The 26,228-nt window shown below is 37.7% G+C and overlaps 1 long non-coding RNA gene across 1 annotated transcript in view; it reads right to left on the bottom strand.

The window, feature by feature from the left end:
• The window catches only part of LINC00359 (long intergenic non-protein coding RNA 359), a 42,892-nt gene that overhangs the window by 15,826 nt on the left and 838 nt on the right, over positions 1 to 26,228 (bottom strand). The window lies entirely within an intron of this gene.

Here is a 26,228-nt window from a genome sequence, read left to right on the forward strand (position 1 = left end):
TTATTATATGTTTAACAGCTTTTCTCACTTACTTCTAAATAAAATGTCTCCACTGCAGTACACTCCAAGCCAAGTAGTGAATTAAGCACACATACTGCTTTTTAGAAGGAAACTTAATCATTGTGGATTCTGCTTACTTGAGATCCCTCTGACATCCAAGGGGATTTTACATGAGTTTTTACGGAATTCTTTGATCTATTCTGAAGATGAGGGTTCCATTCAAAAGCTTCCAACTGCACTTCATCCATGTTCCTATTCTCAAAGACAACATAACAGCAGTTTCCATGTGGAAATTTTTTTCCACATGCACTCAATTAGAATAGGGTATCTCCTTTGGTTCATTTTTCATTTTCATTTGTTTTTCTAATCTTCCACAAGCTCCATTTAACCAAATAACCCATAAGATTTTCTTTTTTACTCTTTTTGCACAATTTATCTCCTGACTTCCATTCTTCCCACAGATTTGAAACTAATGATTGCCAGTTGGGATAAATAAAAACTTCCCTAAGCATCTCCTTTTCAGCCCACATACTCTGCTCCATTCTTTACTAGGCAGGTGCAGCCTCAGGGTAGGTTATTTTTTCTTTATGCATCAATGCTTATTTGAGTTAGCTTGTAGCTCACAGGGATTTTGGTTATATGGAGATATTTTGTACCTCAGCAGACACAGAAGGAATGCTGTTGGCAAGGGAAGTTGTAGCACGACCTAGAAATTCCTTTTTGTCATGAAGCAGGACCCTAAAGCTGAAAAACATTTCTTTCATTCTGGAGAGAAAGACACACAGAAACACAAGATGAACATCACCACCAATAACAACCGCCTGTGTCAATGCAAACAAAAGCCAGAAATCAACCAGTTGAAGAATTAGCTAGCCACATGGTCATTACCTTATATCCCAACAAGCCCAGGGCAAATTAGGATTCCTAAAACAGGATCCTGATTTTCCCAAATGAAATCTCCACACACTATATCCCACCATCTCTTTGGGTTTAGGGTTCCCTTCGAATCTTTTCTAAGAATAAATTAGGAAGGTGTTGTTTTTCTAACATGCAGTCTTTAATGGATACTACTTTTCTTTTTACAAAGGACTCTAATGGATGGAAAAAATTTTAAAACAGTTATCTGTGGGTTAATTGAATTATAAGGTAGGTTAGGAACTGCAGCTCATCAGTGAAAAAAAAATATGTACATTCACTAATTTTGCCAGTTTGGTTCATATTTGTTGGAAGACTCAGGTTTTATAGAAAGAGATTTTATAAACAACCCACCCTCATGTTGTCTTTCGCAGCAATTAATATATATGGCTGAGAAGGCATTTCAAGCTTTCCATTCTTTGAGGCACTTTTATTTCTAATAAGGTTCTCTGCCCTCTAGTGGTTGTTTTGTTTCAGGCATTGGCGTCAAGGTGATGTATGATTAGGAAGCAAAATTTTGCCTAAGGATTTTTAAGGAGTGGTTGTGCTCTCAATTTAACATTGAAAGTGGTTTCTGGAGGGCCGTTAGGATGCTAAGGGATTCTAGGATGACTTCACCTCATGTTGCACAAAGATAGGTGTAAACCTCTACTTTATTTTTCAAACTATTTATCTGTGCTTGAGGATCTGTCTCATTTAGGCTACATATTACAGTTTATTATAATAATTCATTATTTCCATTTGAAAGTTAAAAGAGAAGAGTTTATGTATGGCCTTAAATTCTGGCTGCTGCAGCAAACGCTTGAAATTCAGTCCTCCGAAAAAAGGAAAATGAGTCCCCTCAATTTTGAAGGCCAGAGGGTAGATCCATATGCTGTTTTGTGGGGCCCATCTTCCTGTTTTCAAGTCCAAGGAACTCTGTGGGAATCTGGTCATACTCATGCTTGGGCTTTGAAAAAGCCAAGGTGATTTGGAAAATATGTTCTGAGATGTAACAGCTGCGGCTGCATGATCAGAGGCAGATTTATTTTGGTACAGCTGCCAGGCCCTTGTTGTGCCTTCTGTAAATTTTAATTCCTAGTAATTATTGGAAGTGACACCAACTCTTGTTAATTAACCCTTTTGACATAAACAGAAGGTGTGCTTCCTCCAGAGGACTGGGGGGTGAGATGGAAAAGAGATCTTGGCGTGGCACTCTCGCCCCCTTATTCATCAACCCTCGGAAGATTAAGATGATCAGGTGGATTGGTTTGGAACTGCTCTTTCATATTAATCTAAGAAGCTATGCTATCCATTACTTATATGATGATGGGAGGAAGGAACAGTTCTAAATATGAAACTAGAATGAAGAAGAGGTATCAAGCGTTACAGAATAGGCCCAGTGCGGTTACAGCATGACTTCAAATCACCTTTTCTACAATTCTGATGTCATATTCTCAAAAGATTATTGTTTTAAATATTTATACTGTGGAATAAATTATATATGTGTTGTGTGTATGTGTGTGCATAGCTTAAAAGAATAATGAGAAAATAAATACCCTTGTACCCACTACCTTTATGAGGTAATGCCAAACTGTTTTCCAAATTGGCGTGTAAATGTTCTTTCCTAACAGCTCTGTAAAAAGTGTTTACTGCACCACACTGCCTCAGAAATACTTCATATTATCCAGCTTTTAAATATGTACCAACCTGATAGACATGAAATGGCAGTTCTCTGTAGCTCAATCTTGCGTGTCCCTGAATTCTAATGAGTTTAAGCAACTTTTCATGTATGTATCGATATATTTTTACCTATAGTTTCTACTGAACCATTTGTCTTTTTATTCATTTGTAAGTCCTTTATATCTTCTAGATATGTAAAGTCAGGGGTTTATATTGCAAATATCTTCTCCTGGTTTGAGGCTTGTCTTTTTGCTCTCCTTATGGTATATTTTGGTGAATAGAAGTTCTTAATGTTTTCATGGAGTTGAATTTATCAATAATTTGTTTGTGGTTTATGTGGTTGGTGGCTTGTTTAAAAAATCCTTTTTCTCCTAGATTCTTAGAATAGTGTCCTATGTCATCTAAAGTGTTACTGCACCCTTTTGGGTCTGTGGTAAAGCAGGCTAACTGTCCACCAAGTCCTTGTGCTTATTCTCTTCAGAAGATAGAATTGTCAGGAAGAAGCTGCTCAGTCAGTGATTGGTTAACCCTTGTTTGCATCTAGATGGGATCATGTGACTAGTTCTTGTTAATGGAATATGAGTAGACGTGATGTCATGCTCATATAAGAAGTGATAAATTATCTCCTTCCCCATCCACAAAAATGCAATTACTCTGGGATCCTGGGATCTGATGAAGCCACAAGTGGAAGGAACATAGATGCTAGAATGACTATGTGTAGGTAAATAGCCCACTACTATAAACTGAATGTTTGTGTTCCTCCGAAATTTATATTTTAAATCCTAACTCTCAATACAATGATATTAAGAAGTGGGGACTTTGGAAAGTGATTAGGTCATGAGGGCAGAGCCCTCTTGAATGGGATTAGTGCCCTGATAAAAGGGACCCCAGAAAGAACAGCAAGAAGATAACTTTCTATGAACTAAGAAGCAGGTCTTCACCAGAACTCGACCATGCTGGCACCCTGATTGCAGGCTTCCAGTCTCCAAAACTGTGAGAAGTAAATTTCTGTCATTCATAAGCCACCCAGTCCATGGTAGTTTATTGCAGCAGCCTTACCTAAGACACCTGCCAACCAGGAACACGCATATTCAGCAGCCAGTTGAGCAAAAAAAAAAAAAAAAAAAAAAAAAAGGATTTCTATTGTGTTAGCCACTAAATTTTTGGCTATTTTATTTCATCACGTAGTATTACCCTAACCAATGTGGAAATTGGTACCTACAAGTGGAAAGCTACCTTAACAAATTCTAAAATATGTGGCATTGACATAGTGGATGGGTGATAGAAAGCAAGGAAAAAGATAAAGCAAGACAGAAATATGGAGATCTCTGTTATGCAGTAGCATAAAATGGTGCCTGCTGTAATTCTGAAAGCAGATCAAATGCCTCGTAGATATGTAGCTCTACAGGAAGTAGTTGCAAAGAGCTAAAAATGTTACCATGTGTTGGTTTCTACTCACTCTTATCTCAAGGTATATAAAGAAAAAGATGCGTCCAAGCAAGAAGTGGTTGTCTTGAGAGCAGAGATAGAAAGGAGTGGAGAAAGTCCAGAAATTTAGTGATTCAAGGATTGGCAAAGCTATTTCTGTACCGTAAACCATGATTTAAAAATTAGAATGAAAAAATATTTAGAGCAAGAAAGACTCATTAGGAATTCTCAGTTACACAAAAGGATTAGGCCTTGTGGCAAAGATCAAATTAAGGTTGTTTCTTTCCAATTCAAGGTTATTTTATGAGATGGCCTCAAGGTATCTGCCATTACATTGAGAAAGCCAATGGTGGGATACAGGGAGCAAAAAGCAAAGACATAAATCAGATTGAGAATTATGTCGAGGGAAGAATGAATGTAGTTATTCATACATGGGATTTACTGAAATTGAATAGATGAGAAGTCTACTGTGTCCATGGGAATTATATTGTTGAATAAACTGCAATCTGGCTTTAAAAAGCCTGTGATTATAAAATAGTCATGCCTCCAATAAACCGGCCCCAGCAAGAAGCTGGCAGTGAAGATCCAGCCCTCTCAAGGAGGGCAGACCCCTCAAAGCTCATTTCAGATGGGTTCTTAGGCAGTGGGGCTCTCCACATGTAGTCCCCAGGCCAGCAGCATCACAATCAATCAGGAAAATGTTAGAAATGCACATTACCCAGACTTACTGAATAACAAACTCTAGGGATAGGGCCCAGCCATGTGTGCTGTAAGCCCTCCAGGTGATTCTGATGCTTGCTGAAATCTTGAAACTGCCTTAGAGGAGAAAAAATAAGAATCTCTGAGAGAGTGGAGAAGTGCGGAAAGGAAGTTTCTCCTAGAGAACGGACTTGAGTCTCATCAAGGAACTTCCTCTGTAGCTAGGGAACGTAGTCTTCCTAATGCCTATATGGCAGGATTTTGAAGTTCATTTGACTATTGTCTCCTATTCTTTTCTGAAGGATATTTTATATTGCAGTTATCTTTAATCTGCTTTTTCTTTATGTTTTGAGGTTGGGGACAGTAGCCACATAAATTGTCTTTTAGTCCCTAAATAGCCATATAATAAATATCTACAACTGGACCAATGGAGAGAACAGGGACCAGTGATTGCCATTGGAACAGAAGAAGAGGGTGATGAAAAAGAAGCATCTGAGGTGCTGGGCAGTGGAGGAGCCACGAGTCGAAAGGAGTTTGGGTCCCCGAATCATTGTGTGGACAAAAGCTACCTTCTGACCAGGAACACCTACACTGATTCAGAAAAACGAATAATAAATTTTTATTGTGTTGAGACACCAAAGTTTTAGAGTTTATATTCTTATCAGTACTACGTAGTTCCATTTAGGTTATCAATCCTCTGAGAATTAATTGTGTAAAAGCTGTGATATGGGAATCTATATTTCCATATGAATGGTCAGCCTTTCCAGCACTATTTATTGGTAAGCAATTCTTTCCACACATACCTGCAGTGACTACTCTATCATAAATCGAATTTCCAAATCCATGAGGATCAGCTCCTAGGCTTCCCACTACCTCGCAATGTTTAATTTTCATAACCCCATACCAACACTGCACGGTTGTAAATTCACATAACTGTGTAGTAGAGCTTGATTACCTCCACCCAATTATGTTCTTCGACATGTCTTGGCTATTTCTGTCTTACAACTTTTGTATTTTTTTTCTGCCTTTCAGCCTTATACTTTCGCCATTTCAATTTCTGGGCAGGATAGAGTAATAGACATGGATCCTGAAAACTACAAAAAAGTTTCTGAAAGAAATTAAAGAATTCCTGAATAAATGGAAAGATACACCATGTTTGTGGGTCGGAAGACTAAATATTGCTAGAGTACTGTTCCTTCTCACTTGACCTGTTGGTTAAATGCAATCTCAGCCAAAATGTCAGCACATTCTTTGGAGAAATTAATAAAATGATTCTAATATGTATATGGAGAGCCAAAGGACATAGACTATTCAAAACAAATTATAAAAAGAAGAACAAACCTGGAAGATGTGAAGTAATTTCATGACTTACCATACTACATCGCACTCACTACTCATTACTACAGTAGTGAGTGTGATGTTAGACTAAAAATAGATGTATTAAATAATAGAACAGAATAGACAGTTAATAAATACATTATAAATAAATAAATAGACCCTTATAGACCATTAAGTTTTCACAAAAATGACTAGGTAATTCAGTGATAAACAAATAATGTAAATTGTTGCGGTAACAATTTGATATCCATATGCCAAATAAGGGCCTTTGACACTTACCTCACACCATGCAAAAAATCAACCCAAAATCGATAATTAAATGTAAGAGCTGATTAAATGTAATTAAATGTAAAAGCTAAAACTGTAAGATTTCTAGAAGAAAACAGTGGAAAATATTTGTGACCATTGACTAGGCAAAGAGATTTCTTACAGGGAAGAAAAAGCACAAACTATACTATCAACTGAACTTTATCAAAATTAAAACCTTTTGCTCTTTAAAAGACATTTTTAGACAAATGAAATATCAAGTTACAAACTGGGAGGAAATATTTGCAAACTATATATCTAATAAAAGACTTATATCCATAATATATAAAGAATACTTAAGATTCAATAATAAAAGACAGATAACCCCTTTATAATTAGGCAAACTTTACAAAAGAAGATACACAAATTGCCAATGTGCATATAAAAAAGATGCAGCATTTTTAGTCATCAGGTAAATGCAAATTACAACAACGTGCTATCACTACACACCCACTGGAATGGCAACATTTAAAAAAAATTACAGTACCACCTGCTGGCAAAGGAATGAAGCAACTAGAATGCTTATTCATTGCTGTTGAGAATGGAAAATTGCACAGCCACCTTGGAAAGCAGTTTGGCAGCTTCTAATAAAACTAAACACACCTTTACCATGTGAACCAGCAATTTTATCTCTAGGTATTTACCCTAAGGAAAATATATAGTCACACAAAGATTTGCACTCAAATATTTATAGAAGATTTATGTATAACAGCCAAAAAGTGGAAACTACCTGTTCCCTTCATATGGTGAAATGTATAAATAAATTCAGTCATTTCTGCACAAATGGAATACTAATCATCAACAAAAAGGAAAGAATCACTGACACAGCAAAAAAAAAAAAAAATTGACAAATCTCTAAAGCTTTATGCTAAGTGGAAGAAGTTCAAAAACAAGATGACACAGTATACCATTATAGAAAATTTTAGAAAATGAAGAGAACAGATCAGAGATCCTCAGGGACTGGATGTGAGGGAAGAGAACTCACAGAAAAAGAGCACGTAGAACTTTTTAGACTGATAAAAAATGTTCTATATCATGATTGTGGTGCTGACTACACAGCTGTGTATATTTTTCAAAACACAATTAATGGTACATTTAAAGTTGATTAATTTTATTGTATGTAAACTATACCAAAGCAAAACTAACTTTTTAACTAATTAATTTGTTGTCTTTCTGCCAACGAAAGCAATGGTCTTCAAGCTCTTCCTGTAAGGGGCCTGATAGGCTTTGTGGTCCATACAGTATCTGTTGCAGGTATACAAGTCTGTAGTTATAGTATCAAAATAGATGATACGTAAGGAAATAAAACATCACTGATGGACAGTTAAATTTAAATGTTGTATAATTTTCATGTGTCAAAAATATTCTTTTGATTGTTTTCCAACCATTTAAAAATGAAAAAATCATTTAGTTCGTGGGCCATATAACAACAGAGAGTAAACTAGATTGGGTTAACGGGCCACAGTTTGCTGACCCCAAGATAGGGAATTCTGTACAACATTGAATAAAAATAACAATAGTGAACATCGTCATTTTGTTTCTGATATTAAGGAAAGGCTGTTGATGATTTACAATTAAGTACTATATTTATTAGAGGTTCCTTGGTAGATAGGTAGGCTAAGGAGGTTCTCTTCTATTTCTAGTTTGCTAAGAGTTTGTATCAAATGTGTATGTCAAATTTATTAATATTTTCCTATTTATTAAGAAGCTTATATTGTTTTCTTGTTTAGTTCATGAATAAGGGGAATTACATAAATTGATTTTAATATTTAACCAATCTTACATTCCTGAAATTGAAAACTCATTTTAGGTATGTTGTATTGTTTTCTGCTAAAAATGCATTATTGATTTAGTTTTTCTTTTTTTCTTTTTTAGGACTTTTTACATCAGTGCCTAAAAATGTGTTTATTTTATTGTATGTAATACAATAAAAACTCGTAAGTTTTTCTTCCTTCTACTGTTCTTTTTCCAGCTTTTGTTAAAAGCTAGCCTATTATCCATGTTTCCATTCATAATATTTTATGGAAAACTGAAATTTGACTCTTTTTGCATCTTTGATAGAAGTTACTTGCATGTTCATATAGACTTAGTGTTTCTTAACTGGAATATCTGAAATTTCTAATTCTATTTCTTTCTTTCTTATAGCTCTGTTCCATTTTTTAAATTTATTCATAAGTTAGTAAGTTGTTTTAAATGTGTCTTAAAATCTACAGACAAAAATCTACCAATGTGTCTATACTCTATATTTGTCTCTTTAAAAGAGCACACATTATACTACTTTTGGTGTAGTCTGAAAGTCTTTATTTTTTAACTGGAACATTTAGTGTTTTTACATTTATTGTGATTACTGACATATTTGTATTTATTCTTCTATCTTATTTTATGGCTTCTGTTTGTTTCTTATGCTTCTGTTTCCCTCCTCTTTCTTGATTTCATTTGGGTTAATTGATATTTATTTATTCATTCATTTATGTATTTATTCATCTTTTAAAACTCTCAGGTAAACAGAATTAGATTAATAATACTCCTTGGTTCATGACAGATTCTCATCACTGGTCTATGCAAAGTCTTCCTTTGCCTAATTTATTTCTTTGCTTGTTTATTAAGACAATAAACACTTGTGATCTATTAACCCAATTAAAGATAAATAATATTGACACTAACTTACCTATGTCTTCTGTGCTACTCCTCCTATGCTCTCTTTTTCTTGTTCCATATTTTCCTTCCATTGCCTTAGATTTTAAATTCTTTAAATTTATTTTTTGAGATTTTTTTCCTTGATGTTCTCACATTGAAATTTAACACAGCCAAAGTTAGTCAATGTGTCTACTCTCTTCCCAAATGTAAAGATCTTGCTGTATTAATTACAATATCACTTCTCCCAAAGTAAATGCTAATAGTATTATAGGAGTTATTAAGAAATTGTTTTAGGCAGATACAGAGTTTAAGGGGTCCTTGGTTAGGTTTTTTTTCTTTTAAACCAGCTCCAGAAATGTTTCTTGTCTAGTAGAAAAGTGGCTTGAAGGGCCAGGCCAGCAAGCTTTAATATGCAAATACCAGCCGTTAGAAACTGGGTCCATCCAATATGGCAATTACCGCCCTCTTCTCCTTGTCACCCTGTGTACTAAGCATCATGGCCGCCCCCAGATAACCTCACTTTGCAGGACATCATGGCACCCTGCTTATTAAAAGGCAAGGGTGGGAGGGCCAGTTTTTTTGTGGGCTACGTGAATGACATACCTGGTCAAACCAATCCCCTGGGCCCTATGCAAATCAGACGTCACTTTCTCCAGCCTCCTAATATAACTGACTGTTTTGCACCTCTCGGAGTTTCCTCTCTCAGCGTGGAGCACCCTTCCCTATGTCTCTGTACGGGGGAGCTTCTTTCTTCTTTTTTGCCTATTAAACTCTCCACTCCTTAAAACCATCCCACGTGTGTCTGTGTCATTTTATCTAAATCACCACGAGGCAAACGACCCTGGTGTTCCTCCAGTCATCAGAGCCATATCATTTTAGTGCATTGGCTGGGAAACCAAGGTACAGCGTGGTAAGTATGGGAGTGAGCTTAAAATCTGTTTTATCATTCTGAGGTGATCTTAGCCTCTATTTTAAAATCAAATCAAATCAATCAATGGGCATCCATCAGCTGGTTAAATAGGCTGATCGTGTCTGCTGTTCTAAAGACTCAGATGACAGACTTGCTGGTGAGAACATGGAGAACCCCCAAATACCCACAGGTCATTAGGAATGTTGGCCATGTTTTGAATCAGTTTCCTTTTGTGGGAAAACCTCACCATGGCTGGAAAAAGTTCTGAGGCAACTGAGAATTTCTGGCCAGGGCACCCCCTGGCGTTACCCAAAGGCCTCTAGACCGAACCTAGCCTCCAACAGCCCATTTCGGGTATTGGCAGAGATTCCCCAGCTATCCTGTCCCAAAACGCTCCTTCCTTTTCCTATCTGCAGTCTCTTACTCTCTCTGTGTCAAATGTGTGGGAATTTAGTAACCGGGAGTGTAGCTCAGGAATGCTGTTCCAATCTTCTGTTCCCCTTACCCACAGTCTCTCTCTCGCTCTCTCTCCCCCTACCTCCCCTGACTCCCCCGCCGCCACGCCCCACCCCCACCCTGGCGAGCACATAGTATTTCTAAGCCAACATCGCCACCTACTGGAAATAGAAATCCTCTTCATGAGGCTATGAGGCTATTTTATTTTTTTTTTTTATGGTAACATGAGCTTCCTTTTGCACCACTGGAAATCAGGCTCTAAGCCTCTTCCATGAACGGGAAAATTCTACTCTCAACAGTTAGGAGTTAAATGTCTTCCGTAGGCAAATTTTAGTCTCGATATCGTCCCTTCAGCAGGAAAACCGCCATTAGGTTCCTGCGTTCCTTCAAGGTACCTATTCTGTCTCCGATTAAGACAGTACTTAACTAGTAAGGGCATTTTAAGTCCAGAAGTTAACTGGAACCATTTTTCTAAGGGTAAATGCTTTAGCATGGGCCATAATAGCAGGATATAGAGTTCAATCTAGCATGCCTTGCCATTAAAGGGGCCTTGTCCAATTATAAAGTTTTTCCTGAGATCCATTTTATTTTTAGGGAGGCACACAGGTCACACAAGTCTATGAGGTCAAAGGGAAATAATAGGCAGAGGACTAGGACTACTTGAGTAAGCGTGACTAGGTCTCAAAAGTCTAGTTCCTCTGGTGCTGTGGCTTAGAGGATCACACCTACAGTCATGGGCAGCATATTTAACAGGGTGCCAGGACCCAGGAATAATTGGGGGGACACCCCCACTGTTTTCTTCTCCACCCTGGCTCACACACAGAAAGCAAGGAGACTAAAAGGACACCTTTATTCTCACTTCTCTTTCTACATGGGTAACAGATTGTCCAGCATGCACTCTCCTGGAGTGTATTTTAAAGCACTGGGACTCCTTCGATTCTGAGACTTTGAAGAAAAAGCCCTTCATATTGTATTGCAGAAGGGCACGGCCTTCTTACCGTCTTGGGGACAGACAAACCTAGCCCGTTGGGGGAAGCCTTGATTTTAATATTATCCAACAGTTGGATCTTTTCTGCAGGCAGAAGGGCAAATGGATTGAGGTCCAGTATGTGCAGACTGCCTTTGCCCTGTGAGACAGCCCAGACCTTTACAAGCTCTGTACAATCAACCCAGTTCTTTTAGCAGCCATGGCAGGCAAGCCCACAGGGAATAGTTCCCCAGAGCTGAAGGAGGTTCCAGAGGAGCAATCTAAGACAGCTATTGAATGTCATAACCCTTCCAGTCCCCCTCCAATTGTACCGTCAGCTACTCCAGCTCTGTTATCTCCAGTATATCCTACTCTCCCCACTTCACTCTTAGCTCTGCAGGAGATACCTGATGGGACATGGTATGGGAGCACTTTCAACTGTGTAACTAACTCCTCTCAGGAGAACACTCTGCCCCCAGTGCCAAAGAACACTCTCCCCACACCCTCAGGCTGGGAAAAGTTGATTGCATAATGCCTCCCTCTGCTTAAAAAGCAGTGAGAAAGGGCCATACTTAGGAGATCTCAGATATTGTAACATCACACTTGCAATTGCTGATAGTTCAAAGATGTGGAGGAGGAGAGTGCAACAAGGGTGATCTAAAAGGATCAGAAGGCCTAGTGGGGAGCTTTCAGAATCTAGTCTTTCCTTCTGGTTGGAAGTCCCGATGGGAGTAGCATGCTCTAAGCAACCATCTTGACTATAATGTAAAGAATGACACAGGGACCTTTCCAAACATGCCCCCTCATGGAATTCCAGACCCTTGTATGATGTTTGCTAATAGTAGCTGCTTACAGATCTGTGGGCAAACTGGAGACATCTGGACTAACGGCCCTTGCCACAAGGATCATCTGAGATATTGGTCAGGGCATATTATGTCTCTAATTTTTCAAAACTTCATTTGTCAGGTGGACCCTTCTCACTTGGCTTGTCAAATTCCAAACGGCATTGTAAATGACTATCTTAAATATGGATGTCCTGATCCCAAGGATGCCCCTATTACATGTAAAGAAGGGAAACTTCTAAGATATGAGAAAAATCTGCTGGTGTCTCTCACAAGGCACAACTTAGGATCGTCCCTACAGGGAATGGGGCTATATTTTTTTGTGTGGCTCCTGGACTCCTAATCCTCCCAAGGCGTTGGAAGGGAACCTGTACTATAGGAGCAGTAGTTTCCCACTTACTATGTTTAAGTTCTACTGAGAAGGCAGCATCATCTGGGGGCATCACTAACTTAGGCTCTTTTCTAGAAACTACACTATCTCTAATATGCCGGACAAAGAGTGCTATCATATCTATACCCTAATATGTAGATTTAACTGAAAGGGCAGACTGAGGAGGGCATGCATATGACAATCCCATCTTGGAAAAACCATGGATGGAAAATTCCATAGCCAGAGGTCTATTCCGGTTTACGAGCATCCCTCTCTTTGAAAGATCAGTACTTAATATCTCCATTATGACGCAGTGAGGATGGAAGGCAATTGTAGGTGCCATAGACACACAACAACAATGTATAGACTCTTTAGCCTCAGTAGTAGCACAAAATAGATGGGCCTAAGATGTCCTTACAGCTGAAGTAGGAGGCACCTGTGCACTTTTAAATTAAACATGCTGCTTCTGGATTAACACCTCTAGTAAAGTAGAGGAAAATCTACAGGTACTTAAAGATCAAATCAAAATTATTGACAGGCTAAGAGAAAATGCATCACATCAAAATTATTGACAGGCTAAGAGAAAATGCAGGCTTCAGCCCCGAGTGGCTGTTAAATGAATTCCAGTCTTCTTTATGGAATTGTTTAGCTCTTTTATTAAGCCCCCTCTTGCTTATATGCCTTGCATTAATATTTGGACCTTGTATACTCAATACTATAACTCGAATTGTTTCATCTTGTCTAGAAGCAATCAAACGCCAAATGGGGCTGCAAACAGAACCACCTATGGACATAACATTCTGCCAAGGACCCTTAGATCGACCCCAGGAGGAGCCCTAGCTGCTGTTCCCACTGGACGCCCGTTTGCGGCAGGAAGTAGCCAGAAAGAGTTGTGGCCCAAAGCCCCCTAACAGTAGTGAGGATGACATCTCCTCCGGGGGAAATATTATAGGAGTTATTAAGAAATTATTTTAGGCAGATAGAGTGGATAAGGGGTCCTTGGAAAGGTTTTCTTTCTTTTAAAGCAGCTCCAGAAACATTTCTTGTCTAGCAGAAAAGCAGTTGGAAGGGCCAGGCTGGCAGGCTTTGATATGCAAATGCTGGCCATAAGAAACTGGGTCCATCCACTATGGTGATTCCCTCCCTCTTCTCCTTGTAACCCCATCTGCTGAGGGTCATAGCCACCCCCAGATAACCCCACATGTGCAGGACATCATGGTGCCCTGCATTTGCATATTAAAAGGCTAGGGTGGGATGGCCAGTTTTTTTGCAGGCTATGTGAATGACATACCTGGTCAAACCAATCCGCTGGGCCCTATGCAAATCAGACACTGCCTCCTCCAGCCTCCTAATATAATTGACTGTTTTCTGCCACACTCAGGGTTTCCTCTCTTGGCTTAGAGCCCCCTTCCCTCTGTCTCTGTACTGGAGAGCTTCTTTCTTCTTTCTTTCCTGTTAAGCTCTCTGCTCCTTAAAACCACTCTACTTGTGTCTGTGTCATTTTATCTAAATCATCACAAGGCAAAGGACCCTGGTGTTTTTTCAGTCATCGGAGCCATATCAATAGTTCTCAGTGTTTAGGTTTTGCCTTGTTTCTTAAAGCCGCAAACTAGACATTATAATTATTGTTTTACACAGTCAATTTTGTTTAGCTTTACCTAGATCATTATGTTAGGGGTAGAAGGTATCTGAGTTACTTGGCAGCAAATCTGTACGTGTGTGCACCAGCCACAATTCTTGCCTCCTCAGAAGAAAGAATTCAACTGAGGGGCATAAGGCAGAAAAGAAAACTGAGGCAAGTATCAGAGCAGGAGTTATTAAAAAGCTTATTTAAAGGAGTTTATTAAAAAGCTTTAGAGCAGGAAAGAAAGGAAAGTACACCTGGAGGAAACTCAGGAGGGAAACTGGAAGGGAAAATGCAGTGCTTAACCTTGATCCTAGGACTTTATGTTCTGGCCCACCTCTGGCTTCTTGTGCCCCTTTCCCATGATGCTTCCCTTAGGCTGGGCTGCCTGCATGCATAGTGCCCTCTTTATGCTTGGTGAGCATGCACACCGTGTTGAGGAAGTGTTTTCTCTGTTTGGAAAGTTGCCTCTCCCTGGTGCCTGTGTTCAATTAACACTTTAGTGTGACAGCTGTGGGCCATCAGAAGATTGTCTCTCCCTGGTGCTGGCTGCTAAGTTATCACTTTTAGAGAGGCAATATGATAACTCCTGAACCATCAACTGATGATCACCTGACATTCCTGGTGGGTGGCTGGGGGGAGCCCTCTCCTGCCCCACTTATGCCTGTCTTACTACCTGTAACAATTACAACCATCCCTGCACTCACTATTTCTTCTTGTCTCTAAGACCATCCATTTGACATGATTGCCCTTCTTCCTGAAGCACATTCCTTAGAATTTTCTTTTGTGAAAGTCTTTCAGTGGTGAACATTTTATCTCTTCTTTACCTCTAAAGGTCATCATTTCCCCTTTATTTTCAAAAGCTACTTTTTCTAGATATGGAATTCTTGGTAAACAACTATTTTCTTTCAACATACTAAAGATAATATTTCACTTTTTTATGACTTATATTTTTGTGATTATGATTTATATTTTGCAATTTTGAGATCATGTCCTTTGCAGGGACACGGATGAAGCTGGAAGCCATCATCCTCAGCAAACTAACACAGGAACAGAAAAGCAAACACTGCGTGTTCTCACTCATAAGTGGGAGTTGAACAATGAGAACACATGGACACAGGGAGGGGAGGGGAACAACACACACTGAGGCCTGTTAGGGAGCAGGGAGTGAGGTGAGAACATGAGGACAAATGGCTGATGCATGTGGGGCTTAATACCTAGGTGACAGGTTGATAGATGCAGCAAACCAGCATGGCACACATTTACCTATGTAACAAACCCGCATGTTCTGGACATGTATACCAGAACTTAAAGTAAAATAAAATAAAATTTTTAAAAAAGGAAAAAAGTCAGCTTTCAGTCTTACAGATCCTTCTCTGTAGGAGATTTTTCATTTCTCTCTGGCTGACTTTCTGATATATCTTTGATCATCTGCAGTTTCATCTGATGTGTCTAGTTGTCAATCTGTTTTGATTTACCCTGCCTGTATACATTGGACTTACAACATGGGGGCTTAGGAGCTTTCAAAAATTCTCGAAAATTATCAGCCAATCTCTCTTCAAATGTTGCTTTTTCCTCCATTCTTTTCTTTTTCTGAAAATCTTCTCACATATATATTGGATCTTCTCGCTCTCTACTGCAGGTTTAGCATTCATATTTTTCATTTTCTTGTTTCTTTTTCCTTTGGGTTGTATTCCAGATAGTGTTTTTGGATCTTGCTTCCAGTTCATTAATTCTCTCTTTGCTGTATCTAATCTTCTGTTTTACCAATCCATTATTTTTTTAAATTTTAATTTATTATACTTGTTATTTTTAGAAGTCTGTTTCTTTTAAAGTTTAGTCATTCTTAATAGTCTCATTTTCATTGCTCATTTCAAGCCTCTCTTTTATTTTTTGAAATAAAATAAACTTCCTATTTTACAATCAGTTTCAGATCTTTCTCATCTGTGAAATCTTTGAGGTTCTAATTCTAATTCTCACTGTGCCTTTTTCTTGGCATTTCTTGTGATTTCCTTTTTAATGTGAGTTTCTCACTATACTTGGAAACTTAACCAATAGGAGCCCTTTGAGACCTGTGTTAAATTTGTGATCTCTTAAAGAGATTTCCGTATGCTTCTGCCAGTTGCCTGGTGGTATTGCCCATCTGGAAATCACTTTAAAATTAATTCCCCATTCAAGCTTCAATTTTTAACATGCAAGTAACAACAAGTTGACATGTAAGCTTGATGCTGACTATGATTTCTCAGGGGCAAATTTATTTTCCCTCTACCCAGTGTCAAAGTCAATGCCGGTTATTTTACATGCTGCCCCCTTCTCTTCCCCAACCTTATTTATTGTTCACCCTAACGTGGAGAACATGGCCTATTGACATTCAGAGTTTTGCAAGAGTCTACTATTACAATCCCCACCTTTGTTGAATTGCATACCTCATGTCCTTTCTCCCATGTTTAGTGTGACTATATATCATTCCAGACGCTTTTGAGGATAGAAGTAGGTACTATTAATAATTATACCAGGGCAACTGGCATTAACTAGTACTATCCTGGGAAAACCAGGGTGTATGATCATCCTACACATCCCAACACAGATATCAAGATGTAGGTGAAAAACCCACCAGGATTTTGAAGAGACTATTGGGAAAATTGGTGCTTTTACTGCCTACTGACTTCCAGATTTCTCACCTTTATATTTATTTTTTCCCTTTGTGGATTCTTTAGTTTCTTAGCTCAGTGAGCATTTTTATAGGGGTTTATGAGAAGATTTTACTTAGCCATTTTCATTGTTTTCAACTGACAGGTTGTGCAATGGATTTAATCTAACATGTTACCAGAAACATAAGTCTTTTCTCTCATCATCAAAGGCAATACAAAGATTCAATTTAGGCGTGAATTTTCTGTACTCAGCTATTGGTCAGGTAAGAATTGGGATTTAAAAGGCAGATATTTCTCATTCTAAAAGAGGCTCATTTTTTGCTGTTGTTCTGTGTCATAACTTCTAGTGTATTATTGGGTGCTGGGACCACACATAAATATGTGACCATGTGTTGGAGAAGTTCATAATCTCGCAAGGAAAAAAAAAACACATTGACATAGAAGAGTGATAATCCAAGTCCTGTATGATAAATTGCCCAAGTGCTTCAAGAATACAAACAACAAAAGATGGAACTGCCCACTCTGAGCTAAGCAGTTAGAGCAAGAGCCACAAAAACTGAACTTTATCAGTGCTTTCACAAATGGTTAAAACTTGAATAGGGGATTTAATATTGGACTTGTTTTAATTTTTTAATATGAATGCTGTCTGGCTTTACCCCTGAATTTAAATTTTAAAAAAAGCACTGTTATTTAAACTTTTTGACAGACTATGTAAATCAGAAAATGTTTGGGAAAAAGATGGCTTGTTGTTTGACCATCTCTTATGGTGCATATGTAGATTTTTTGGCTTTCTTGGTGTAAGATTCATATGTTTACAGTGTTGCCTCTGATAATGAGATAATATTAAGTATGTAATACCAAATACTGTCTTACTGTTCATCTCCTAGAGGGTTTAAACAGATAAATGGGGCATTTAGCCAGGTACAATTAGCACCCCAGGATATTTGTGTATACTTAGAATACACTTTAGGGTTGTTGGTGAGAGAGATTTAGATAGCTACATAAGTTCCTGAAATGCATCCTTTGGGTGCACTCCTTAAAATACAAATAGATAATGATAACTGGTAATGGCAAAAAGAACTAGACAAACATTTCACTGACTTTTGATAAGTAAATGTAGCATAACAAACACTCAACCTAAAAGGCACATATGAATAATGCAGTTAGTTTCCAAGAATGTGGTATTTTTGAAAGTAGTACTGTTTCATTATTAAGATTTATATCTCAAGGGTATAGCACAGTACTTTGCACATAGTCGGGGTTCAAAAGATGCTGGTGTTAGTTTACTCAAATAGACGTTAAGCTGATATTGTGATCCTAAACACATAAGTTATGCATTCCTCTGTTTTATAAGTTTCTGTGCTCAACAAATAAATATACTAAATAAATAATATTTTCTGCATCTGTGTTTCATTTTTCAAATGTTTGTGGAGGCTATTGTGATTAATAAAAATTATTTACAAGCATTAATGTAGTATTAGCAAGCATTTTCAGAAAGAAAAACAATGTGTTCAGGCTATAGGAATATTTCTAAACTATGGAAAACAAATTGTTACTATGTAATCATAGAAAATATATTCATATGTCATATAATATGCAGAGACAGAATAAGAAAGAAGACATATAGCAACTCTAAGAAACCAAGTGGTTTAGGTGCACTTTAAAAAAAATCTCCTCTAAAACCTCTGAAATGCATATAAAATAAAAATGAAAGAATGCTTCACTTGAACTAAAATCAGCAAATAATTCTGGCCTCATAGTACTAGCCTCTAAGACTTTCTTCTAAATATCAAACAGTTAAAATAAATGGAAAGGGGATGCCAGGAGTACCCCCCAGTTCCCTGGTGCAAACCTCATGTTGTAGGCAGTTAGTGGAGGGCATTAGAAATAACCCCACTGAACTACCATGGCTTGATAACTAAGAGCTCTTTTTTGTTCTTTAAAATTCATTCTTTTAGAGCCTCCTGGTCTGTTTTAAGGATGTCTCTGAGAGTCTTGTTGGTTTTTTGAAATTTTCTTATGTTTCCTACAGGGTTTTTGTTTCTCTGAGTGCTTTCTTTTTAATTTTTCTTGTCTGATCATTTTGGAGTCTCTGATTCCTGTTGTTGACTTTTCCCAGTTGCTGTGTTATTCATGACTGTCCATGCTGATATTTAAGAGTATGGCACTAAGAAGCTGAGTTGGTAAGGCAGGTCAACTGGTGGGTGCCATTGTGGGGTGGGCAGGCTGAGCTGTTCCTCAACTGTTGGTATCTAAATAGTTTCTCTTTTTGTGAAAAGCAGCATAGTGTAGTGGTTCTATACATGGGCTCTGGAGTCAGACTGTGCATTCATAAAGAGAGCAGTTAAAACACAGCCCAACACATCACTAGTGCTATATAAGTTGTATCTATCATTGCTGTAGTTTCCATTTCCCTAGAGAAGAATGCTACAATATTCTGGCAGGAAAGGTAAGTATGAGCTGCCACTGTTATCAGAGCCAAGTGTTTCTATCCAAAATTTAGGACCTCACTTTTACCGTTCCTTTGACTATATGTATTGTCCTCAGGTCAAGAATCTTTCTGCTCCTTCTTTCAACCACTCCAGAATGAAAAGCCAAGAATTCTCCTGGTGTAGAAGAGAGGTAATTATTGGTTTGCACAGGAAAAGGGATGATATCTAGGGGCGTAATTGCTTTTTGTTCAGGCTTTACATGAAACTTCCTATTGTTAGGTTTACTGATAATCCTCTTTCAGACGTAACTGGCAGCCCTAATTCCTGAACATTTTGGAGTTAAGCAGAATGTACTACTCTGTCTCTGGGTTCTCTCCACTACCAGCTTTGGGTCCCTTTTGTTTCACCATTTATCTGTAAGCTTTTAGCTTTCAATATCTTTACAGTTACATTGAAATGGGAGAGTTCCCTGACCCCCTTGTGGGACTTATGACAGGGTTGTGGCTTGTTTGCTCAGCTGCCACATGCTCCAACCACTTAAGGGACGGGGAGCATGCAGATGGGCAGGCGCAGGAGCCAGGGCAAGTGCTTTTGGGTTCCGGCCCTACAGTAGCATCTAGGGTGTGTTACAATTAATGTTCTCTTAGTAGTTGCCATCCATGGACAGCCAAGTGTTAAACCAGCTCAGTGGAGAGTCAGGGTGACAGCCTTTTAAACTCTGCCCTTGTGGTAGTCAGGTGCTTATCTGGCATCCAGGAAGAATCAGGTCACATGGACTTGAAGGATGGTGAACGTGGGATTTTATTAAGTGATGGGGGTGGCTCTCAGTGGGATGGATGGGGAGCTGGAAAGGGGATGGAGTGGGAGGATGATCTTCCCCATGAGTTTGACCATTTGGTGGTCAATCTCCTCTCCAACCCCCTCAATGTTAAGATGCTCCTCTCTTCTCCTCTTCTCTGCTGTGTTGCTCTGTTGCCTTTCTGCTCTTCTACTCATGGAGCTGGGGGTTTGGGATTTGTATGGCTACAGGACTGGGGGCCATGGAAGGCCACGGTGGCTTTGGAAAAAGAAACATTTGGACATGAAAATGGGAATGCTTGTTCTCATTTAGGGCCATGGGTCCAAGCTTAAGGGTGGAGCCCTTGACAGCGACCCTGCTCTCCTGCCTCCTGTTCATATCAATATTACCATTATTATTTTAGTATCATTTTAGGGGAGAAGAGTCATGGTTAAACTGCCATATTTAAATTGAAGTATCTCACACTTTAGAAGGATAAATAGTAAACAGCATTAATGGGAAAGGCAGGAGGCATTCCACATAGCTTCTGCTCCCTCACCTGGAATAGATCACAGTGGAATATAAGGGAGAGCCTCTCCCACTGGTAACAATGAAACTAGATCAAATACATTAATCAAATGTTTCCAGGCATGGGATGATAGATAGAGCAATATTGTGAGCCCTACAATCATCCCACCTCTCTGGCTCATGGTCTGGCATAATTTCCTGACCACAGCACAAAAATCTGGAATAGAAACAGAAGACAATGGTCCCTTTGAGCTGAGGAGGCAGAGGTCGGTGTTCAACATGAAGTGTCTGAAAGATTTAAAGCAGGGCACCAAGGCAGAGGGAAGCATGGTCAGAAGAGGGAAAAATTCTCTGATTTCTCTGCCAAGGGCTGTGTTTGCAGGGAGAGACGACTTAAGGCTAATCAGAAAGAAGCTACGGGAACAGAGATAGCAGTGATTAAGCAATGATCAAGAACATTGGAGTTCTAGCCGACACCAAGGAAAAACTATCTCATTACCATCTTACTAACTCATCTAGCTGAGGCAGCAGAAAGCAAAGACCATGCTCCAGAGTAAGCCCTAATCTAGATTCTTTGGGGAAAAAAAAAGGCTAAAACCAAGTCTAAGCAAGACCACAGGAGAAATTGAATTTGGTAATTGGGTCTTACTGTATTAGAAGAGCTTGGTAAACATCTTGGACTTCTCACAAAATATGTTCCTAAAAATCACAAAACTAAGCCAACACAGTTTCAAGGTGATTAGCAAGTAATTTATCTGTCTACTAGGAAAAAAAACCCAAGTCTTCAAGATAGTAATAGAATCTCTACAATGATTTATTTATAATATCAGTAAAAAGTTGGTAGATACATGAAACAGAAAAACATGTGCCATAGCTAAGGGGAAAAAAATCATTAGAAAATGACTTTAAAGTGACCGACTGTGGTACACTGAATACTAACCTTCTCAAAATGTCCACATTCTAATCCCTGGAACCTATGAACATGTTATGTTACATGGCAAAAAAGACTTTGCAGATGTAATTAAGTTATGGGTTTTGAGATGAGGAGATTATTTTGGATTATCTGGGTGGGCCCAGTGTAATCACGGGAGTTACAACAAAATAAAAACTGAAGAATCAGCATCAGAGAGAGATGTTCAATTAGAAGTGGAGGTCAGAGAGATTTTAAAATGCCATGCTACCGGCTCTGAAGATAGGTGAAGGGACCATGAGCTAAAGAATGCAGGTGGTCTCTAGCAGCTGGAAAATGCAAGGAAATGGAGTCACCTCCAGTGCCTCCAGAGGTAATGCAGGTCTACCAACTCCTTGACTTTAGCCATGTGAAATTGATTTAAGACTTCTGACTTCTGAAAGAGAATAAAATTGTGTTGTTTTAGGTCACTATATTTGTGGTAATTTGTTATAGCAGCAATAGGAAAGTAATAAAACCAAATGCTGGATTTAATAGGTAAAAATGTGAAAGCAGCTATTTTGGTATGTTTACAGTTAAAAGAAAAACACAGTTTAGTGAAGAAGGAAACTCCAACAGAGAAGTGGGATTAAAAATCATTACACCTTATACAAAAATTAACTCAAGATGGATTAAAGACTTAGACTTAAGACCTAAAACCATAAAAGCCCTAGAAGAAAACCTAGGAATACCATTTAGGACATAGGCATGGGCAAAGTCTTCATGACTAAAACACTAAAAGCAATGGCAACAAAAGCCAAAATAGACAAATGGGATCTAATTAAACTAAAGAGTTCTGCACAGCAAAAGAAACTATCATCAGAGTGAACAGACAACCTACAGAATGGGAGAAAATTTTTGCAATCTATCCATCTGAAAAAGGGCTAATATCCAGAATCTACAAATAACTTAAACAAATTTATAAAAAAAAATAAACAGCCCCATCAACAAGTGGGTGAAGGATATGAACAGGCACTTCTCAAAAGAAGACATTTCTGTGGCCAAGAAATTTATGAAAAAAAAGCTCATCATCACTGGTCATTACAGAAATGCAAATCAAAACCATAATGAGATACCATCTCATGCCAGTTAGAATGGCGATCACTAAAAAGTCAGGAAACAACAGATGCTGGAGAGGATGTGGAGAAATAGGAATGCTTTTACACTGTTATTGAGAGTGTAAATTAGTTCAACCATTGTGGAAGACAATGTGGCAATTCCTTAGGGATCTAGAACTAGAAACACCATTTGACCCAGCAATCCCATTACTGGGTATATACCCAAAGGATTATGAATCATGCTGCTATAAAGACATATGCACACGTATGTTTACTGCAGCACTGTTCACAATAGCAAAGACTTGGAACCAACCCAAATGCCCATCATTGATAGTCTGGATAAAGAAAATGTGGCACATATACACCATGGAATACTATGCAGCCATAAAAAAGGAGGAGTTCATGTCCTTGGCAGGGACATGGATGAAGCTGAAAACCATCATTCTCAGCAAACTAACACAGAAGCAGAAAACCATACACCACAAACTTTCACTCATAAGTGGGAGTTGATCAATGAGAACACATGGTCACAGGGAGGGGAAAATCACACACTGGGGCCTGTCAGGGGGTAGAGGGGTAGGGAGCTAGGGGAAGGATAGCATTAACAGAAATACCTAATGTAGATGATGGGTTGATGGGTGCAGCAAACCACCATGGCACGTGTATGCCTATGTAACAAACCTGCACATTCTGCAAATGTATCCCAGAACTGAAAGTATAATAAAAAAAAGAAATTATAGAACCAAGAAATAAAATAACTGAAATGTAAAGTTTACTCATTGAGCTTAACAGTAAATTGGAGATAATAGAAGAAACAATTAACTTTAAATAGATCTGAAGAATAGAGTGTCATAAGATTGAAAAGACATGAATGAAGTCTCAGTGACCAGTGCAACAATATTGAGCTGTGTGACATACGTGTAACTGGAGTTTCATAAGAAGAAGAGTGAAGATGGAGCAGAATACATATTTGAAAAAATAATGCTTAAAATTTTCTGAATTTGATGAAAAAAGAGTACATTATAAGATTAAAGAATATTAATAATTCCTAAGCATTATAAATACAAAGAAAATTACACCTAGGCACAGAATAGCCAAATTGCTTTAAAACAGCAAGAAAGAGAAAATCTTAAAAGAACCAGAGGATAAAGAAACATATTACATACAGGAAACAATGATATGACTTACAGCGAACTTTTTATCAGAAGAAGTAGAAATGAAAAGATAATGGAACATCTCTGAAGTGCTAAAATTAAAAGTGGCAATCCTTCATCCAGTGGCATTTCTACGTTCAGTGAAAACATCTTTCTTAAAAAAGTTAAATTATGATATTTTCAGATAAATACATGCTTAGAAACTTTCTCTTCAGCACACCTTCATTGTAATAAATGCTAAAGAATGTTTTTTGTTTGGAGGAAAATGATATCAGATGAACACTCTTATCTTTAGGAAGAAATGACAAGCATGGTATTGGTAAATAAGTAGGAAACTATAGAAGACTATTTTTTTCTTACTGTAATTTTCTTAAAGGACAACTGACTAAAGTAAAAATATTTACAATGTAAACTGGGGTTTATAACACATTTAAAAGTACAAGTTTTGACAGCAATAGAACAGAAGTTAGAGTGAGTAAATGGCATAATACTGTTATAATGTTATTATATTTTAAAGATAGAAGAAGTGGGAAGTGAAAAATACAAAGTACCAAGTATGAAATGAGAAGAGAAAAGATGACAGTAGGGAGTGGAAAAATTTAGGTGTGAAATAAAAAAGAAACATAATTGACTCTAAATAATTTTTGATACTTGAGGTAAGATGTTTGTAGCCCTAGAAAATTACTATAAAATAAAAAGAATTTAAAAATATAGCTAAGAATCCACAATAGAGGAAGTAAGTAATATTAAAAATATTTTATTCTTCTAATAGGAAACACAAAAGAAACAACAAAGATACAAAAAAGAAGAGACAAATTAAAAAATAGCAAGACAGTAGACTTGAATCTAACCATATCAATACTTACATTAAATATAAGTGCACCAGATACTCCAGCTAAGGGCAGAGATGTTAGTTGGGATAGAAACAGGATTCATCATGTACCGTCTACAAAATATATAAACGCAAATATATATGATATAATATACTTATGTTTAGACACAAATACGTGTGTATATATATACATATATATATATGTAAAATAAGCTCTAACTATCAGTAACAAAGGAAAATCAGAGATAAACTGCATTGCACCAAAACTGTAACCTAGTCTCAGCCCAGTCCGGTTTCTATTTACAATTTAAAGAAATACATTCCCAAGTCTATTTTCATGGCTGAAGAAAAGGTAAGCCTATCAAAGGATCCTCTTTGATCTTTCCATATGCAATTTCTGTTATTCAATAAAAAATTAATAGACATGCAAGAAGATAGGATCACATGACTAATAGGCATGAAGGAAATGACAGACAATAGAAGCAGATCCAAAGGTAATTCAGATATTAGAAGGACAGATGAAAACTTTAAAATACCTATGATTATTCAGTTCTGGAATATATAGAAAGAGGTAGACAAAATAGATTTGAAAGACAACCAAACTCACTGAAATAGTAGAATTAATAAAAAGAACCACATATACTTCTATAAATGAAAAAACATAATCTCTGAAATTAAGAATTCAATGGATGAGTTTAATGGCAAATTGTATGCAGTACAAGGTAGGATTAATGAAATGAAATAGATTGATGGAAAATATTCAGACAGAAGCATAGACAGGAAATAGAATTTAAAAAACAGATCATTGCATATTATAATTTAATTTCTTCCTGAGAACTCAATAATAGAAAGAACTCACATGCTTCAGGCATTTTTTATGTTACCTGCCTTACATTGTTTGATAACATTTGAGCTCATTGTAAAATATCAGATAGATTATATAGAAGGATGTTGCTGGATAGAATTTAAGAATAAAATTAGAGCAGGAGTCCTCAAGTGCTACATGGCCTTGCAGTTAATCAGTGTTTTATTCTGTCTTTTTCAGAGCTTTCTGGAGGAAAATGTCAATGTCTTGCATGATCCAAGAGGGTACACAAAGACACTAGGGTGGGTTTGGAGGAGAAGTACAGCAACAGTAAGGCAATTTCCTCTGTTAATCTCCTCCCTCATGAGGGCAGCTCCAATCTTGTGGCTCATAACATTGGCTGTTAACCGCAAAATGTTAAAAGAACAAAAACTTGGCCCATATTGAAAGGAAATCCTGTCAAAATTTCCGTCAACCCTTATGATCTCATTGAGGAAGTACTAGGAGGCAGCTCCCACATCCCTTTTCATTGCTTCCTTTGCCTCACCAGAAAAGAAAGAGTAAAAAGATTCATGGGTGAGAATTATGTTAAGAATGGAGGGTACAAAATTTTGATGGGTCAAAGATCTTTCTAGAAAAACTATAATAAAAGCAGAGGAATGTTAGAATTTTATGAGTAACCTAGTGGATCAAAATAGAAATGAGCAACTGAAAACACTAAACATAAAGCTATGAAGGGGGAGAAGATGGGGAACTTATGATGTAAGGATCAGAATAATATGTCCTGAAAATCCTGCTCAATTGCTAAGCATAGGACAGTCAGACACAAGCACCTTCCTAGGTGAATTAGTGTTCCTATAAAAAGAAAAGAAAGAAGAAATGAAGGA

This window comes from Homo sapiens, chromosome 13, assembly GCF_000001405.40.
Source record: "Homo sapiens chromosome 13, GRCh38.p14 Primary Assembly".
NCBI lineage: Eukaryota > Metazoa > Chordata > Mammalia > Primates > Hominidae > Homo > Homo sapiens.